At 42.0% G+C, this 19,154-nt stretch overlaps 1 protein-coding gene and 1 long non-coding RNA gene across 12 annotated transcripts in view, besides 5 other annotated features; one reads left to right on the forward strand and one right to left on the reverse strand.

Moving 5' to 3' along the window:
* The window catches only part of RNASEH2B-AS1 (RNASEH2B antisense RNA 1), a 28,335-nt gene extending 21,330 nt beyond the window's left edge, over window positions 1–7,005 (reverse strand). The window contains exon 1 of the long non-coding RNA NR_046552.1: window positions 6,776–7,005. This is a non-coding gene — a long non-coding RNA (RNASEH2B antisense RNA 1). The remainder of the gene's footprint in view (window positions 1–6,775) is intronic.
* Window positions 5,899–6,328: a silencer, noted in NCBI's record as "silent region_5361". NCBI's record gives its function as "represses an Ori minimal core promoter by ATAC-STARR-seq in GM12878 lymphoblastoid cells {active_cell/tissue: GM12878}" and the evidence as "EXISTENCE:reporter gene assay evidence [ECO:0000049][PMID:35858748]".
* The window catches only part of RNASEH2B (ribonuclease H2 subunit B), a 60,783-nt gene continuing 47,599 nt past the window's right edge, over window positions 5,971–19,154 (forward strand). For 5 of the 11 annotated variants that reach the window (XM_047430613.1, NM_001142279.2, XM_047430617.1 and 2 more), the window contains exon 1: window positions 5,971–6,433. In XM_047430613.1, the coding sequence (XP_047286569.1) occupies window positions 6,370–6,433 (64 nt within the window). In that variant the 5' untranslated portion in view covers window positions 5,971–6,369. Of the gene's footprint in view, window positions 6,434–6,542; window positions 6,732–6,938; window positions 7,131–9,309; window positions 9,425–17,602; window positions 17,625–19,154 lie in introns of those variants that run through there. The other 6 variants (NM_001411023.1, NM_024570.4, XM_047430615.1 and 3 more) reach the window with 5 other exon arrangements.
* Window positions 6,339–6,578: a silencer, noted in NCBI's record as "silent region_5362". NCBI's record gives its function as "represses an Ori minimal core promoter by ATAC-STARR-seq in GM12878 lymphoblastoid cells {active_cell/tissue: GM12878}" and the evidence as "EXISTENCE:reporter gene assay evidence [ECO:0000049][PMID:35858748]".
* Window positions 6,789–6,838: a silencer, noted in NCBI's record as "silent region_5363". NCBI's record gives its function as "represses an Ori minimal core promoter by ATAC-STARR-seq in GM12878 lymphoblastoid cells {active_cell/tissue: GM12878}" and the evidence as "EXISTENCE:reporter gene assay evidence [ECO:0000049][PMID:35858748]".
* Window positions 11,196–11,285: an enhancer, noted in NCBI's record as "active region_7770". NCBI's record gives its function as "activates an Ori minimal core promoter by ATAC-STARR-seq in GM12878 lymphoblastoid cells {active_cell/tissue: GM12878}" and the evidence as "EXISTENCE:reporter gene assay evidence [ECO:0000049][PMID:35858748]".
* Window positions 13,484–13,633: an enhancer, noted in NCBI's record as "active region_7771". NCBI's record gives its function as "activates an Ori minimal core promoter by ATAC-STARR-seq in GM12878 lymphoblastoid cells {active_cell/tissue: GM12878}" and the evidence as "EXISTENCE:reporter gene assay evidence [ECO:0000049][PMID:35858748]".

Below are 19,154 nucleotides of genomic sequence, written 5' to 3' on the forward strand. Positions count from 1 at the left end.
ATTGTAGAAAATATTAATAGCATATGTAAAAGCAAATTAGGTGATGATAACTAGGACATCAAGTTATTAAGATTATATGAATTGTGTGATGGTTGCTAGGGTGCCAGGCAGCAAAATGTGTAATTATCTGATTATCTGATTTATTTAATTCTGGCAGTCTATCTCTACAGATACTTCAGCCAGAAAAGTATACTTTGGAGCTTGAATTACCTGAATTTCTAGCTACCTTGATTTTATATAAATATATGTAACACTTATAACTATATACACACACATACACATATGGAAATGTGTAAACATAGCACCAATACTCTTCAGCCAAGGAAGCCAGGAAGTCACCTGTAGTTGAACAAGTTTGGTTCATTACTTGTTGCAGCAAGGAAGAACACACATCACGGAAATCATGGGTGTTTCAGTAAGAGGGTGTTAGAAAGGACCTTATAGGATTTGGGCTTTGATTGAGTGATTTGAGGTAGAGTCTAAGGCAGCGGGGATTCCCTCTAGATTGGATGCTGTTAGAAAGTGGAGCACTTCTGTAATGGGAGATCTCACTTACTCTTATAGGAAGGGGAAACTATAGTGAGAATAAAGTTGTCATTGGTAAAGAAGGAGCACTCATTTTGGCCAAGAGATAGGATGTTTGGTACTTCATGGGTGGCAAAGTGACTTGCTTTTGTCTGTGCTCACACAAAATTATGAATGGTCTTATTTAATCATGGTCTCAAAGTAGCCCGGTCAGAGGCTGGTTTTCTGTGAGATGGTTCATGTCTAATGGGAGAATCGCAGGGTCTGCCTATGAGAGCCAGGCCAGCTTCTGGGTGTCAGGTGCTGCCCTTTTTCCTTCCTCAATAGCTTCAGTCATTCTTATGCTACGATGGGCAGATCTCACAAGTTTATGTGTGCCTTTTTTTCACACTGCCAAGTACAGTTCAGTTTTAGGTTGGGTTGGTTACGAGAGAACAGAAAGGGAATATTCTTCCCAGAAAGAATGATTCAGTGCTACTCATACTCACTGGTCCCCTTTCTACATAGTTGATGCTCTCGAGAGCGGACTTTTCTCCCAATCTGATGCTTCAGGATGATGGTGCTTTCTCTATTGTCACTCAATGAGCATTTGATGGCAGGAAAATTTGGTAGAAGAGAACAACTTTTTCTCCTGAGAAAAATGATGATAAACATGGATTTTAATTTTAATTTTGTTTTGAAAGAAGCAATCTTACAGATTTTTAATAATATAGAGGAGAAAATATTCTTCCACTACCTTTAATACAATGTCTGTCTGCTCTAATTACCACTAAGCATTGCTGAAGGTTATTTGGCACTGAATTCTTCTCCCGTGCCCCACCCAGTTTTTTTTTTCTTTTTTCTCTTTTTACTAAAAACCAAACATCTATTGTTTCCAGCATTTAGAAGAGTCTCAAATTTTCTACTCAAGAGGTGTTAAGTTGCTGCTCCCTTCTTATTCTTTGTACAGAACTAGTACAGACTAGTACTGCAAGTAATTCACAGACTGTTTTATGATATACTAGATGTAATCAATTTGTTTTGATTTATAAAATTGGGAATACCACAAGCCACGACAGCTTAGCTATCCGCATAAATATTTACTCAAAAAATATTTGCTGAGCACATGCTATGTTTCCATATTATTTTGTCCCAGGCATGGGGACACCAGGGAGGGAAGGAAGGTGAAGAGCCCAGTCTCTGGAGTCCTAAGGCCTGGGTTGGAATTCCTGCTCAGCCACTTGCTAGTCATGTCATCATAGGCAGGTACTTGATCTCTCTCGACTCTACATTCTTCCTCTGTAAAATGTGGGTGACTAAATAATACTTACCCTTAATGCTGTGGGAGGGCTGAAAGAGGTCATTCGAGTTAACTGCTTAGTGCAGTGCTCAGCATAGTTAATACTCAGTGAAGCCATTGTTATTTTTTGACAAGATAGTGGTGAATTACTAGATGCTATTCTTCCCTCAAGGAACTGACTGGTTCCTCTCACTGGTGAAATTGGAGGCATCTCACTTATTCTTGGGAAGAGTATTAGGAGGCAGGAAGAGAAGGCACTTAGTAAGACCTGATGGATGAGTGAGAGTTGTCCTGGCAGTGGTAAAGGGTAAGGGAGAAGGGAAGGAATGATGCTTGTGGAGAACAGGATGGTCTCAGCATTGGGGACACAATACCAAGTGCTAGATGTGACAGAGAAGAGAACCACAGGCAGTTCCTTGTGGCCACACTGTGGACTGGGTGGAGAGCGACATAGGTGGTGGGAACTGTAGCTGGGGAGTCCAGCCAGGACCGGATCTCAAGGGCCATGTGTTCAAAGCTTAGCACCTTAGACTTTACCTTGAAGACAACAGGGATCTGGAGTCAGCCTATCAGTAATGGTATCCTTTTCAAAAAGGTACTTACATAATTTTTTTTAATGATAAAGGAAATTATTTACAGAAAGGGCAGAGTTCATTGTTTTCTCATTCACAGAGTATAGCAACCGTTACCCGTACGAGCCTGGGCCTCTCATTTAATTTCTCCTGCCCCTCATTCCTTACCCATGCTTTCTCCCATTCCTCTCCATATTAAAGACACCCATATTTTATTTAAGTCCCAGAGTATATGTGCAGGATGTGCAGGTTTGTTCCATAGGTAAACGTGTGCCATGGCAGTTTGCTTCACCTATCACCCCATCACCTAAGCATTAAACTCAGTATGCATTAGCTCTTTTCTCTAATGATCTCCTCCCCGACCACCCTCCGCTTACAGGCCCCAGTGTGTGTTGTTCCCCTCCCTGTGTCCATGTGTTCTCATTGTTCAGCTCCCACTTATAAGTTAGAACATGCGGTGTTTGGTTTTCTGCGTCTGCATTCGTTTGCTGAGGATAATGACCTCCAGCTTCATCCATGTCTCTGCAAAGTACATGATCTCATTCCTTTTTATGGCTGCATGGTATTCTGTGGTGTATGTGTACATTTTCTTTATCCAGTCTATCATCGATGGGCATTTGGGTTGATTCCATGTCTTTGCTATTGTGAATAGTGCTGCAATGAACATACACATGCATGTATCTTTATAATAAAATGATTTATATTCCTTTAGGTATATACCCAGTAATGGGATCGCTGAGTCAAATGGTATTTCCAGCTCTAAATCTTTGAGGAATCACCACACTGTCTTCCACAATGGTTGAACTAATTTACATTCCCACCAACAGTGTAAAAGAGTTCCTATTTCTCCCCAGTCTTGCCAGTATCTGTTGTTTCTTTTTTTTTTTTTTTTTTTTTGAGACGGAGTTTTGCTCTCGTTGCCCAGGCTGGAGTGCAATAGCGCGATCTTGGCTCACTGCAACCTCTGCCTCCCAGGTTCAAGCAATTCTCCTGCCTCAGCCTCCCGAGTAGCTGGGATTACAGACACGCACCAACACGCCTGGCTAATATTTTTTGTATTTTTAGTAGAGATGGGGTTTCTCCATGTTGGTCAGGCTGGTCTTGAACTCCTGACCTCAGGTGATCCGCCCACCTCGGCCTCCCAAAGTGCTGGGATTACAGGCGTGATCCACCGTGCCCGGCCTCATCTGTTGTTTCTTGACTTTTTAATAACCACCATTTTGACTGCCATGAGATGGTATATCATTGTGGTTTTGATTTCCATTTCTCTAATGATCAGTGATGTTGAACTTTTTTCATATGTTTGTTGGCCACATGTATGTAAAGACACCCATTTCTTTATGTGCTTGACATGGCCTTAAATATGCATGTATCCTTGTAAATTACATCGTGTTGTTCTTTGTGCCTTTTAAATTTACCTACATGGTATTCTGCTAAAAATAATTTCCTGCATCTAAATTTTTTTCTTTAGATACAAAGCATCTGTTTGTATATGTACACCAATCACTGTGTCAAACTGCTGTATACATAGCCCATATACAATACACATGGTAGCATTATTTATAATAACAGTTTGAAATAACCTAAATACTGCACACTAGGGAATGGATAACTAACCCTAGTACACCAGCTGTGTTAAATATCATGCCTTCATTAACAATGATACTTCTCGATATGAAGGGGCACATGCTTATGACAATGTTAAGTGAGAAAAGCAGACAAAACAGTCTAAATTGTGACAACAACCACAAAAATATACATTAATACAGCCAAGGGCTAGAAAGGATCAGAGAAAAATGAAACAGGTATGTATGTCTGAGCAAGGGAATCATGGGTAACATTTCTCATGTACAGTAGCTCCCCCTATTCGAAGTTTCGCTTTCCAAGGTGTCAGTTACCCCCAGTCGAACTTGGTCCAAAAATATTACACGAAAAATTCCAGAAACAATTCGTAAGTTTTAAATTGTACAGTGTTCTGAGTGGTGTGAAGAAATCTTGCACCATCCAGCTTCGTCCTGCAAAGGACCTGAATTCTACCTTTGTCCAGCGGATCCACACTGCAGAAGGTCCCCTCCTTATGAGTCACTTAGTAGCTGCAAGAGTAGTGATGCTGGCATACTGTGAGAATTGTTCTATTTTATTATTATTGTTGTTCATCTCTTACTGGGCCTAATTTTCAAATTAAACTTTATCACAGATATACATGCAAAGGAAAAAACAGTATATTAGGGTTTGGTACTATTTGCGGTTTTAGGCCTTCACTGGGGGTTTTGGATCCCATCCTACAGGAATAATGGGGTGCTCCTGTAGCTGTTAGTAAGACGATGGTGTGCCTGGGGATTTGTGCTATACACCACAGCATCTTCTACAGTCGTTTTGGGGGAGAGGGAAGATCAGAGCAGTACCAATCTGCTGCTCCTTGCCCCAAAACTGGCAAGAGGCGCCTTTCCTCAGCCAGAAAGGCCTCTTCTCCACCAGCTGTGTCCTGCAATCAACTGCAGCTGTATTGGTCTCACCCCATGGGAAACAGGTTTGAAGTTAAAAACCTTTTCAGAGGGCCGAGATAAATTTAGTGCTGCTAAATTTAACTATCTTCAAGATTAAACATGAAAAGCAAAGTGCATGAGTTATGTATATTATTCTTTCAATTGTGCAAAAATAAGACATTAACTTGTTTTTGCATGGAAAAATTCTGCAAGAATAGAGAAGAAATGTTAACAGTTACCCCTGGGATCTGGGATAAAAGAGATACATCATGCTTTTCTTTAAAAAAAAAAAAAATAGGTTTTTGTGGATTTTTTTGTTTTTGTTTTTTTTGACAGAGTCCAGCTCTGTAGCCCAGGCCAGAGTGCAGTGGTGGGATCTCGGTTCACTGCAACCTCCATCTCCTGGGTTCAAGTGATTCTTGTGCCTCAGCCTCCGTAGTAGCTGGGATTACAGATGTGCACCACCACACCCAGCTAATTTTTGTATTTTCAGTAGAGACGGAGTTTCACCTTGTTGGTCAGGCTGGTCTCCAGCTCCTGACCTCAGGCGATCCGCCCGCCTCGGCCTCCCAAAGTGCTGGGATTACAGGCCTGAGCCACTGCGCCTGGCCCGTGCTTTTCTCTAAAGTATGAAAGGAATATGTACTTTCTTCTTAAAAACCATGTACCAAACAACACTTTTCAATTAAAATGTTATTTTTAAAAGTTTAAATCCCCAAATTTCATGGCTCTAACTTTTTAAACATCACTTTTTAAATAAATGTCTAAGTTTTTAACTCAGTATACAGCGTTCTCCAAAACAACAAATTCATATTCTGAGCCCAAAACTGTGCACCTCTTTTAGTGATGAGGACGGAGTCCAAATTGAGGACATCCCTTGTAGCTCACAATGCACACATATTCTCACATCAATAGCAACACAGAATGCAACTGATGACCAATATATATTCACAAATAATTGAGGACCATGGCTAAGAGTTGCATTCGGATTCCGATGTGACTGCTATTGTCCTTAACACGGACTAGCTCCAGGTGAGTCCCCCGGCCCCGGGGGTGTGGCGGGCGTCACCCGTTGTCCGGGCACACACCCCGCAGACCCAATCCTAGCCCGCTGGCTAGACCATGGAGGGCCGCTGGGTGCAGCCACAGAGCGCGGGGCCCCGGCGACCCCGCCCCGCTCCGCGTCACTCGGCGCCCTGCGGCGCGCGATGAGCACCTACCACTAGCGGAGCCGCGAGGGAGAGGCCGCGGCCCCTTCCCGTTGCCTGCGGCCACCGGCCGGCATTCAGAGCCCCTCGCCTGGCGCTAAATTTAAAAACGTAACACGAGCAGCAGGCTGGTCTCGGAAACGAAACGAAATTCGGTCCCTGGGCCTCCTCCCGGGCGCTGCCGGTCCCTCAGCGCGCCGCGCCACCCGGAACAGACCCTTCTCCCGCCATTTTCGGCGGGGCTGGGAGACTGAGGCCCGCGGCGCTGAGCCTGCGGCGCCCCGGAAGAGGCGGGCGGCATGGCCGCTGGCGTGGACTGCGGGGACGGGGTTGGCGCCCGGCAGCACGTGTTCCTGGTTTCAGGTAAACACGCGCGCCCGGGCGGCGGGGTCGGCCCAAGAACTGGCGGAGCGGCCCGCGACCCCGGGCGCGCCGCCCCCCACCCCGGTGGCTCCCACTACCCGGCCCGGCGCGGGATGGGATTCTCTCTGGGACAGCTGGCCCCGCATTTTGGTCACACGTCATAGCAAGCCGCGGTTTTCAAACCCGGAAGCGCCGAAAAGGACCGAGCGTGTTTCCCGGGCCCTGATCCCCGGTGGCTCGGGTGGGAGGGTGGAAGCCGACTCAGCCTGAGGGGAGCCACGCGGGTTCGCGGTCACCGGTGCGCTGCGGGCCCCGGAGGTTTCTGCCCTTGGTGTCCCCTACCTGGCAGCTGGCCCTGCTTCTGTGATCCTACTGGGTTGGAACCAGGGATCCAGTAGGCTCGAAGTGGCCTCAGACGGTGCGCAGTTTTAAGAAAGCAAAGGGACAGGCCTGCAGTGGCGAGGCAGGAGGGAAGCGGGATGGGAGTCGCGGTTAGGCCAAGGGTAGTTCAAAGCGATTCAGCAGGATGATGACCACAGGAGTGCTGGAGCCGGGCCTTTCAGCCCCCGTGTGGATGATGACCGGCCATCCAGGACATGCGAGGGCTTGGGACAGTGGACAGCCAGTGCCACACAAGGAAGGACCGATTAAATGACACAGTTAAAGGAATTTGGCCTAGGGAGTGCAAGCCAGAAAGGTTTGGTCTTTTTATATATGTAACATTGGAAAAAAGGAACATCTCCTGTTCCCTGTATTAAGTTTTGACTTTAGCTCAGCAAATGCAGTGTTTGTGGCAGTAAATATACTCTGATAACAATATTCTTTCCCAGGAATTTAGAGTTTTATGATGGTTATTGAAAATGTTTACATGACAGGCTGTCAATAATATTTTTTGCCTCTAAAAATAAAACATACATAAAGTGTACGGATTTTAAGTATGCAACTCACTGAACTTTTCATACGTATACACCACCCTAGTAACCATCCCCCAGTTCAAGATGTAGACTGTTTCCAATAACGCCTCATGCCTGTTCCTAGATAGCCCCAGGAACCTCTATGCTGACCTCTGTCACCAGAGATTAGTTTTGCCTGTTTGAATAAGAGTGTACCCTTTGTGTCTGGCTTCTTTCACTCTGAAAGATTCATCCTTGTTGTGAAATTCATTCATGTTGTAGCAGTTGTTTGGTTGGTTGGTTAGTTTTTTCATTGCTGCTTCTGTTTAATTGTATGAGTATCCATACTATGTATCTCTACTGTGGATGGACATTTGGGTTGTTTCCAGTTTGCAACTATTACAAGTTACACTTCTCAGAGCATTCCTTTAGGCGGCTTTTGGTAGACATGGGCACTCATATCTCTAGGGTGTATACCCTGGAGTGGAATGGCTGGTTCTAGTACTTGTGTGTAGAGCTGTAGTTGACAATGTTAAATGGTTTTCCAAAGTGGTTATACTGATTTATATTCCCACAAGCAGTGTATGAGAGTTCCCATTGCTGCACATCCTCGGTAAAAACGTTTGGGTGGTAAAACAGCTAATGCAAAATTCAGGGTTTTGACAGAATCTCGCAAAGGGCTACCCGTATACATGCTTTTCATTAGAAAAATCATCCTTTCTTCTCACTTCGTCACATCAAGACAATTAGATTTTCAGAGTAGGAACTCTAATCATTCTTTCAGAATCAAGTGCATTATTGTTATTTCAGATATACACAATAGCTGATGATAATTTGAGCTTCTTATTTTGTTGTTCTGTTTAATCAGTATTGACATCGTCATTTTATACGTGTGTTTGTGTCCTTGTATTAAACACAAAACCCTCAAAAGAATTAAATATTGATTGTATCCCTGAAAATTGTAGGTTTTAATATATCTACTGCTGGGTTGTGGGAAGAGTTTCAGTTGAGTTTCTGTTCAGAGCTGAGATCTACTGTGACCTTTTAAGGCATTGGGGGAGGCTGAGCAGCTGTTGGAACTGCTAGAAAGAGCTGTGTGGTCAGGGGGGCAGGAACTCTTAACAGTTAAAAACTTGAGCTACCAGCTCCTGCAATTCTTCCTTCTGGCCTTTAGCGCCACCTGCAGGCTCTGAGGGTACAACAAGGTTTGACAGCGACTGCAGTGCAACACTAGTTCTCAAACTTGAGGGCATCATTTACCTGGGGAGCTGGGCCTCAGTTCCCAGAGGTGCTGGTTCAGTAGGTCCTGGGCTGGGGCCAGAGAATGTGCATTGGTAACAAGTTCCCAAGAGATACTGATGCTGCTGGTCCGGAAACCACTGCCCCCACCCCAGGAACCACTGCAGTAAAGACTTTGGGAACTAGATTGGGATATAAGAATGACAAGCCTCATGTTTGGCCCTCTTTGTGGTGGGCCAGAATTTATATGGTCAAGGAAGTGCATGTAAGTGCAGAGTGTGAGGCTCATCTTCCCAGATGTAGTTGTCGTCTTTTCCAGAAGATGAGAAATCAGCCTGCTTAGTTACCCATTCGGGAGTTGGAAACGATATGCCCTTGGCTGAGGGAGCACCATACTCCAGTAAAGCTGGGCCCTTAATAAAGAAAACAAAGATTATTAAACATTTTTCAAAAGTATTTGGCGGAGGCGGCTTGTATTCGGTTTTAGAAAACTTGGGATCTGAAGAACTTACTTTGTGTACTGAAAAGTGAGCACATGAACCCACAGGCCAACAGAACTTTAAAGGGATTTATCCGTGAGACAAGGGTAAAGATGCCTAACCTTGCAATGATACTTTTTTCCAACATTTAATTCATGCTGTTCATCGAGTTGCCTGCCACAGCACTGTGTTATATCTTGAAGGATATATTTAAATGTTTGATTTAGGTATCTTTGCCTCTAGTTTTCAGTTTGTTTGGAGAAGCTGGCTATCTCAGATAAACAAATCTGGAACTTGGAAGAGATACTGTGAGATATGCAGACTTGGGACGTTGGTTTTCATAGGCTGGTGAAGACAGAACCATTTCCCATTTCAGCAAGGCAAGCATTTCTTTTAGTTTGGGATGGTCTTAAATGTTTCTGTAAAATGGCCTGGGAATACTAGCCTGTTTGCAGTTTTAATTTCTATAAGAGGCCATTACTTTACTTTTTGGAAAGTAGTATAAGTTTCCATCCCTCTTTTTCTGCCCTAAAAGTAAATGTTTGAGTCATATTTTTAATGTTTTTCTTAAGTCCATTTTTCTTGTTAATGCTACTAAGTTGGGATGTACCCAGGTGTGAGAGGTCACCTGATTCATTGCGTTTAGAAGACTGCATTTATTGCTGTTGGGGGCTGAACAATTAATTGGGTTCATCTCCAAGGAAATGTTAATTGGGAAACCCTAACATTGTGTATTGAAAAAAAAAAAAAGAAGAAAAATCATTTCAGGCCTGTTAAAACAAAACTCATTTGGGTTCACTTAGGCTGATTAAAATATTCCTTAATCAGCCCCCTGATTAAACAGTCCTGAGGTGAAACTGCACCTCAACTCGAATTTTCAGTTAGAGACAAGTTTTGCAATAAAGTTATCCCCCTTTATTTCATGAATATACATGTTAAAAAGTATTTTAGGAAAGATTGCACTTATTATTTATTTCTCCACAGAAAGCAGTTTCATGGAGGTAGAGGATGGGTTGCTTTTTGGGAGATAAGAATCCCTGTCTACCTTAGACATTTCAAATACAATAACAGCTTTTTATGTGAGGCATCGTGATAATCACAAATGATTATACCAGAGCTATCTTTCCAATTGGAATGCAAAAATAGATGTGGAAGGATTGTATAAATTCATGCATTAGAACTATGTTCTAATTAAAGGATTTAAAAAATAAATTTAAAAGGAAAAACTAATTTTCTTATTTAATGATGGAGAAAATTTATATTAATGTTATTTCTGATTACAGTCTTGAAGATTTTTTTTTTTTTTTTTTGGTCCACCAACTGGCATAATTGTAGCTTTTTATAAGTCCAAAGAAATGCCTCTTGTTTTGGGGGAGGAAAAAAAGTAAAGGTTTAAAGTGTATGGCAAAGGAAGAACTACTATAGATTTAACTGACTTTTCAGTGACACTAAAAAACACTCTTTTCCCTTCTTTACCTAATGGCTCATGGTTAATCTCAGAAGAAAAAGTTAAGCAGGATTTTTGTTCTTTGTCAAAACGGTATGTATGTATATGTTTGTGTTTAGAAATATACGTGAGGGCCGAAAGCTTCCTTATTTTCAGAAGAGATGAACTTCACTTGGCACATGATAGAGAACCTGGCCAATTCAAGTGCTGATTTTAGACAACCTCGGAATAATTAAGCTCAGCTTTTTGGAAGATGTGTCATTTACCGAATAGTCTACTGCAGGCAGTCAGCAGTGTAGGAGTCTCAGAGTTTTCCAGCATAGAGCGTGTTTAACATTTTCCACATGAATCTCAGTCTGGCTTTGTTTTTGCAAAATGTTTTTCGGTGGGACCCGACTGACCTTTCTCAGATGGCCACTGGATCTGCTCCCCTTGCTATCTATCTGAGCACGTTCTGAAGTGGATGGACTTCAGTTGCCAGTTGGTGTAATCAGGCTGTTTCCAGAGTCTGATCTTGTCCCTTTAGTAACTGTTCCAAAATACTTGGGACATTTATAAGTAAGAACTCATGACTCCCACATATTTATCCTCCAGGTCAGAAAAAAATTCATAAAAGGAAAGCAAGCAGTGTTCATGATTTTTTATTTGAGTAACAGAATAGGGACTGCATGGATTCTCCCACATCCTCTGAGACTGTGATTTTAAAAAACAAACAACTCAGTCAGTGTGCTCCAAAGCCTGGCTATAATAACACAGACTTAAAAGCTAGATTTATGCTATTTATTAGCTCTGTGTCATTGGGTGGTTTACTTCCTCACTATAAAGCCTCACTTTTGTCATCTCCACAGTGGGGAGAAGAGTACCAGTCTCATGGGGTTGTTATCTGTGGTTTGAGTTACTCATAAGCTTTCTTACACCTCAAGCTTTTAGCCCTGGGCCTGGGACAGAGTAGATATTTCAATAAATATTTACTGAACGAATAAAAGTCTCACATTCCATTTCTTCCTGCAATGTCTTTGCTTATTCTGCTTTTTCCTCCCCTTCTACTTCTATCCAAATTCTACCCTTTCCTCAAGGTTCCATTCAACTTTATTTTCCACAAAGCTAAGCCATTTGCTCCAGCTCAGCTTCTCCGTCTTGACTTTGTGTCTGCCTGGAATCCTGCCTGCTCTTCACTTTATCTACCTGGCAAATTCCTACTTATCCTTTAAACCCAGCTCAAGTATCACCTCTACCAGGAAGCCTTCCCATGGGTCTCTCCTCTTGTTACTGCCCAGGTTCGTGGTACCTCTTTGACCACCTACACATTTCATCATGATTATTCATTTAAGTGCCATTTTTATATAAATATGTATTGAACACCTAATACATGCCAGGAGCTAGAGAGAGTCCAAGTGTGTTTTCCCTGAGTGGCCATTTCGCTTCTCAGTGTGGGCACCTCAGCCTTCTGCTTCAGAGCACAACCTCCAAACAGTAGAGCATGTCACGTAGGATTTCCAGGCCTTTATTCAGAGCTACCTTTATGACTTCCTTGTCTAAGGATGACTGTTTGCTAAAGCAGAATGGGCCACCCCGTGGCAAGGGGATGTAAGGGATTTGGGGCTGCATGTTCTAGTCCCTGTTTCATTATCTGTCCCCGAAACAGCTAAGCTGGAGGCTGGCTTACTCCTCCGAGGGCCTAGGTCTCAACATTTGGTAAGGCTCTCCTGCATGATTGGCTACCTTTGCCTGATTGTTTTTAAAGATTTTTTGTTATTGTTGTTGCCTTTTAACCTTCTTTTGACCAGTTAACTCTACATTTACACGTTTTTCTCACAGTGGTTTTTTTTTTTGATAACTTTAAATAATTAGAATAATAATATTTACCCAGTATAGAAATTCTAGTAATATGGGGAAAAAAATAAAGAATAAAATAATTTGTCCATCATCCTCACCCAAAATAAAAATTTTGGAGATATTTCTTTCCAGTTTTTTCATGTTGTTTACATTACAAAATGAATTCCAATCTTCTTAAATTTTTTTTTCTTATTTTTCTATTTTTGCCTTTATTTCATTGTTTACCCTTACTACTTATTTAATGTAACACTAAAACACTCAGGGAGATTGGGGTTACATAAAAGTTTATATGGTGCTGTTCTACATAAAATTGGAGAAAGTTCAGTTGATTTAATAGAGGTAGGGGCTGTTTTTTTCCTCTTAATTTTGATAAGGACAGAAACTCACACAGTGATATGAAACAAGTTGACAAAGAGAATTTGTATTTTAGGCTTTGAACATTGAAGAGGTGTAATACTTATTGCTTCAGACAGTAGACAGTACATATTTGGAATGGGTTATCTTTGAAAGTGGATAAAGATTGAAAATACAAATAGGTGCAAAAGAGGTAAAGATACATTTACAGAGCTGTATTGGACCCAATGGCAAACTAGGATGTTTCAAAAGCCATTCAAAGCAGGTTACATTTTTGAGGACAACCATAGCCTCCTGCAAACATCCCTTGGTGTGCTTTCCTGAAACCGGATACTGGTTTGAATAGCCTGTGAGTCTGCCTTAGTATGGAAATTGCCATTTTTTAATGTGGGGTCAGTGCACCTGGGTTGTGTGTTACAAAATCAAACATGAACTTCTTTGGGAGTTCCTTAGCAGGTTCACATCCTCCCAGGAAGGAGCAGGGGTGGTGGAGAGCATAGGACATCTGGCCCTAGGGTGTTGCAGCAGCAGGAGTCCAGGGTTTCTGCCTCTCTGAGTGTTAACTTCCTCTTCTCAAACTAACTTCCTGCATTTAGTGAAAAACTGGTTTCACGTGATTCCCAAGCTGCAGATCCCCCCAGTGTCTGCTGGGAGGGGTCTCTCCTCTTAGTTCCAGTTTGAAACCTTTCAAAACAGCCTTCTGACTGGTCCTGCTGTGGTCACATGCAGTCCCACCCTCCACCACCTATTGTAGCCAGGGAGGGGCAGGCTGTAAGCACAAGGTGGGAGAGGAGGAGGACAAAGTGGGCACTTGAGGCTAAAGAGTGCTTTTCTGGAAGAAGGAAAGGGTACAGGATAGACAGCAGAGGAACTAGCTACCACGTCGTTTCACCAGTGGGACTCTGAGCTCTGGCCAGAAACCTCAGCCACTCATGAGCTGTCTTGCCTATGGCCAACATTAGGGGTTTCTCAGTTGCTGGTAGTCTGTTTGACTGGCTTGTATATAGGTATAGCAGAGGTTTATTTGTATGGAGAATTGGGTTCTAGTTGTAACTTGTACTTGCCTTCATTTAGTCAAAGTTTGTATAATTTTTAGGAAGCCCAGCTTCTAGGCCTGCAACTTCTAGCTGTTATAACTTTGCAAAACACTTTCATATAATTGTATTTGACCCTCTTGATGACCTTGGGAAGCAGTTAAGGCAGGCTTTATTATCACCATTTTGCATATCAGGAAACCAAGACTCAGAGAAGTCAAGTAATCTGTCAACATACAATAGAAATCCAGTGGCAGAGACTGTCAGCTCTCTCAAGTCCTTTTCCAGGACTCCTGCATGTGCCAGAGGCCACTCTGCTGACTGAATAATGATGCCTCACCACTGTGGGAGAGGCCAGAGGACCAGGAAAGGCTGGTCTCAAACTGCTCTCAGTTTGATGACTAGGGACCAGACATACCTCCTTCCCTGGAACCAAACCTGGTTGCTCTCAGTCACCCCAATCAGGTCTGTCTTTTCTAGCACTCCACAATTTTTCCTGCTTCCCACATAGTTCATGCTCCATCCATGCTCCATCTCAGTATGTTTGCTGGTCTTTGTGGCTCTGAGTTGGCTGTGAACCTGAATATTTTTACTAGCTTCTTCACCAGTGCACAGGCTGTTCCTAGAAACATGGTTGTTGATAGGGACAGCCCTGAAAGAATGGAGATTTTGTCTTCTATGGTCCTGCTGAAGGCTAGTTTCTAATTTTTATATTTATTTATTTATTTATTTAGAGACAGAGTCTCACTCTGTCGCCCAGGCTGGAGTGCAGTGGCACGATCTCGGCTCACTGCAAGCTCCGCCTCCCAGGTTCACGCCATTCTCCTGCCTCAGCCTCCCGAGTAGCTGGGACTACAGGCACCCGCCACCATGCCCAGCTAATTTTTTGTATTTTTAGTAGACACGGGGTTTCACTGTGTTAACCAGGATGGTCTCGATCTCCTGACGTCGTGATCCGCCCGCCTCGGCCTCCCAAAGTGTTGGGATTACAGGCGTGAGCCACTGCGCCCGGCCTCTAATTTTTATTTTTTTCTCCAAAGCTTCAAAAGAAAGTTACACTTAGAGGAATCTATTACTTCAGTAATCACATAATTTTCCTGGTGCATGTCTCTCTTGCTTTCTTGGTTTGCCTCTTGTAGTCTTTGAAGAAACAAAGAGCTTCAAAGCCAGGAAAATGACCCAGATCTCTTTGACAGCAGTGCTAATGTTTTGGGAAGTGAAGGCATATAGTTATTACTGAAATTAGTGTTCCTGGAAGCTGCAAGTTACTTGAAAATTATGCTGATTTGTCTTGCATGCATTGTATTTGTGTCCTACCAAAGTGTTTCCAAGGAAGTATCTGGCAAACAGGCAGGAGGGTGCCGGGGCAGTGGGACGGGGAGGGTCTGAATATATTCTGATGGCTGAAGTCTAAAGAAAATGAACTGGAACCTATTTAGGACATCGTATTGCATAAGCATGAGAGTGATAATCTCATCTCTCTTTTTCTTTTTTCTATTGGATCTTCTTAAGAAACCTGAATAGCCTTGATATGATATCTAAAAATAAAGTAAATGGTGCTTTGATGTCTGTACTTTCTCCTCCATGTAACAGTGGGTGTATGTTTCTCAGAGTTTATCTCCTGTGTGCCAAAAATCAGAGAGGCTCAGGAACAAGTGTCCATTGCTTCCAAGTCATAAGAACAATTGGCAAAAATCACTTGTCTTGTGTCTTTGAACTTTAAATGCAGTGAAAAAACTTGTCTTAACCAAGAGAGGGATAAGAAAGAGCTGCCAAGTTTGAAAAACCTGCTGATAAATAACTTCATACCAACTGTACAACAACCTGTACTATATAGTCTGTAGATGAAAAATCATGTACCATTTTGGCTTGTACAATACTTTGTGGCTAACTTTAAAAAATACGGAATGGTTAAGTCTGTGCATTAATACGTGCTGTGTAACCTAACTTCTCAGCATTATAATGTCACAGATATCTGGGGGTGGTGGGGAGAAGTATATGCAGCTATGTATAGAATATACACAGCTCTCCCTCCTTTCTCTTCCTTCTGCCCCCTGGCTGTGTGGTCTACTGGCTGGATTGCAATAGCTGGATTGCAGCTGGTTAGATGACTCTGCTGGTTTTTGAGGATGAGGAGGACAGGACAAGAGAGGGAAAATTTTAAATGTTTATATCATAGGAGAATAGTCATGTCAGAATCATTGTGTTTCCAAGCTGCAGTTTGTGCTTTTTAAGTTAAGAGGTATGGGACTTCAGATTAAGAGTTTCTTTACAGTATTATAGTTTAAAACATTGGCTCTGGATAATAGTTGACTGAGTTTAAATCCTGGCTCTATAGTTGACTTGCACTCTGACCTTCAGGCAGGTTTTTCATCCAAAAAAGTGGAAATTAACATAGCACTTATTATGTGACCAATATAGAGGACTTAAACAGTGCCTGGTAGACCGTAAATGGCCAATACATATTAGCTGTTATTTTTGATTTTACATTCATTAGACACAATTGTCTCTTTGTCACTGGTATGTTTTCTTTAAAGTACAGATGTCAGGAAAGTAGCAATCAGAGATTCCTTGTTTGTTGAGGGTGTTTTGTTTTGTTTTGTTTTGTTTTGTTTTGTTTTGTTTTGTTTTGACAGAGTCTTGCTCTGTCGCCCAGGCTGGAGTGCAGTGGCGTGATCTCGGCTCACTCTAACTGCCTCCTGGGTTCAAGTGATTCTTATCAAGCGATTCTCATGCCTCAGCCTCCCAAGTAGCTGGGATTACAGGCATGTGCCACCACACCCGGCTAATTTTTGTATTTTTAGTAGAGACAGGGTTTCACCATGTTGGCCGGGCTGGTCTCTAACTCCTGGCCTCAAGTGATCTGCCTGCCTCAGCCTGATTTCACAATACTGGGATTACAAGTGTGAGCCACCGTGCCTAGCCTGTGGAAGCCCAGCAGATGGAAGATTTGCTGCCAGAGTTAATGGTGACCGGTGGGATATACAATTGAATCTTTACAGAGAATATAGAGACCATGAGATAACTACTCTGGAATCAGTTAGTTTTAAGGAACCACAGGGGCAGAGCTTGAGATAATTGGGAAGTTTAACATATTATTAAACCTAAAATGGCCAGCAAGACTGATAGCTGCTTCTCAGTTGTCTGAGTTTTTTCTTTTTTTGTGAAAATACTTTTTTAGCCAGCATGACTTATGTCATCTCTTAGATGAGAGAAAAGAGTAAAAAAGACAAAGTGTATAGCTACTCTTTTAAAAATAGTGTTGGAAGCATAGTTTTGGAAGAAGGTGTCTCACATGAGTCAATTTTCTAGACAAGTGAAATTTGGCTCTTTTAGTATCAAAACTTGCTTTTATAATTTTTTATTGAGTTTTTTCTAAACTTGAACAATTCATTTATGTTATGTTTATTGAGTATATCTCATGTGCCAGAAACACTACTGGGTACTTTACATTGCCTTGATTTTTACATATAAAATGCATTGTGTTCTGGCTTTTAAACAAGATACACTGGTTTTAATTTAATATTTTCTTGGAAGACTAATTGTTAAGCCGTTATGTAACTCTGTGCTTAGATTTCGTGACTTTCATATTTTGATCTTATTATTCCCTACGTGTTCTCGACTTTTTCCACGTAGTTGAGGGAAGGGTTACTGATTGTTAATTGATTATTTATTATGTGTTCTAGGCACTTTCACATACATTTCATTTCAATCTAACAGAAACATGTAAAATTATTATTATACCCATTTTATAGATGACACAATGAACCACAGAGAGGTTGAGTATCTTGCACAGAGTCACACTGCTGAGTGAGGAGAGGAGCTGAGATTGGAGTATGGACCCTTCTGATTCTGGGTCCAATGTTCTTTCTATGCTGACATCATTGAAGAAATAGACATAAGTTAAAAGTAGGTTTATAGATCATGACCCTTCCTCACACTCCCTCTTTCTTTTCTAATTCTTTCCCATTGCTGTAAAAGCAGGGTTTTCTTCTCTAATTAATTTAGCTATTCTTCACCTGTGCTAGATGCAAGTAAAAGACAGCAGAAGTTAGAAAAAGGGTGGAGCCTCCAAACCTGTTGGGTGAGAGGCTGGTCCATGAAATGACCCAGGATTTTCTCAGAGTAAATGGAAAATCTTTAACTTTGATAGAGTTAATTTATAGTTACAAGTAATTTTGTGTGCCTAATACCAGGTATAGACTAAGGAATTTATCAGAAATATTATAGTAAATGAGCCCTTTTTCTCATACCAAGTCTTCAAAGTTCAGTGAGGGTAAATCCACCCTCCCATAAAAGCAATGAAAACACTAGCAAAGATAGCAAAAAGCAACTTTTTCAGAACCCCTGAGATTAGCCAAAGGCTTCCAATAGTTTGAGAAGTGTTTATTCAAGAAAATCTTCTGAATCTTATTAGGAACAGCAGGGTTTGTGGGATTGTAACTGAACTACTCCCATTTCCTCTCCTCAGCTCTGCAATAGCCTTGAAAACCAGCAGTCTTGCAAAACTTGTAAAAACGGTACTTGTAAAAACCAACAGCCTTCAACCATTGGCTAGGATAGGCCTGGATGGAAGATCCTCAAGAAGTCCCATTCCCAGAGCATTGTCCCTATTTGACTTTTCTCACAGCTCCTTGGAAAAGTCTCATTTGCAGGGCATAGTTGTTATTTGACCTACCTTGGAGCTCAGAGCTTGCTCTGTTCCCACAGAGCCCTATCTTCAGGGTATTTGTCAAAAACAATCAGTGACAATTGTTTAACGTCGTAGCTTCTGAGGGGTCAATACCAGTTGCGCAAATAAAAACCTGGCCAAAAACTTACGGGTAAGATGTGAGGAATAAGATGTCCATAAGAGGCTTTTAAAAAACTCTTTTGACATATTCCTAGAGGATTAGAAGGCTACACACATATGCAGGGCTATGTGCATGCTCAGAAGGACCTGAGAGGGCCTCAGTGTCTCACCTCTGACTGAGTATGAGGTCCGGAGAAGGCAATAAATACAAGCTAAGGCAGAAGATTAAAGTGCCCAACTGTTGAAGGTATGCCTTAACACACACACACAGGACCCTTCAGCAAAGATTGGATCACTTATTGGTTCACAGCATCAGCTAACCACTAAGCTAACTAAACAGAGACATCAGTGGCTGCACACCACAAGAAATACAGACTTTACAGAATTAGTCCAGAAAAGTCACTAAACAAACAAACAGCAACAACTGCAATAACTACAAAAAACAGCAATAACAAATCCTGGGGAGTTGGGAGAGGAGAGTCTGATTTCCAGAATTGCCACATTTGTTATTATCTGAAGTGCTCAGTTTTGTTTTGTTTTTTAACAAAAAGCATGAGACATACATACACAAACAAGACAGTATGACCCATACACAATAGGGAAAGTAGTCAATAGAAACTGTCTCTGAAGGGGCTGAGATGTTGGAT

This window comes from Homo sapiens, chromosome 13, assembly GCF_000001405.40.
Source record: "Homo sapiens chromosome 13, GRCh38.p14 Primary Assembly".
Classification (NCBI taxonomy): domain Eukaryota; kingdom Metazoa; phylum Chordata; class Mammalia; order Primates; family Hominidae; genus Homo; species Homo sapiens.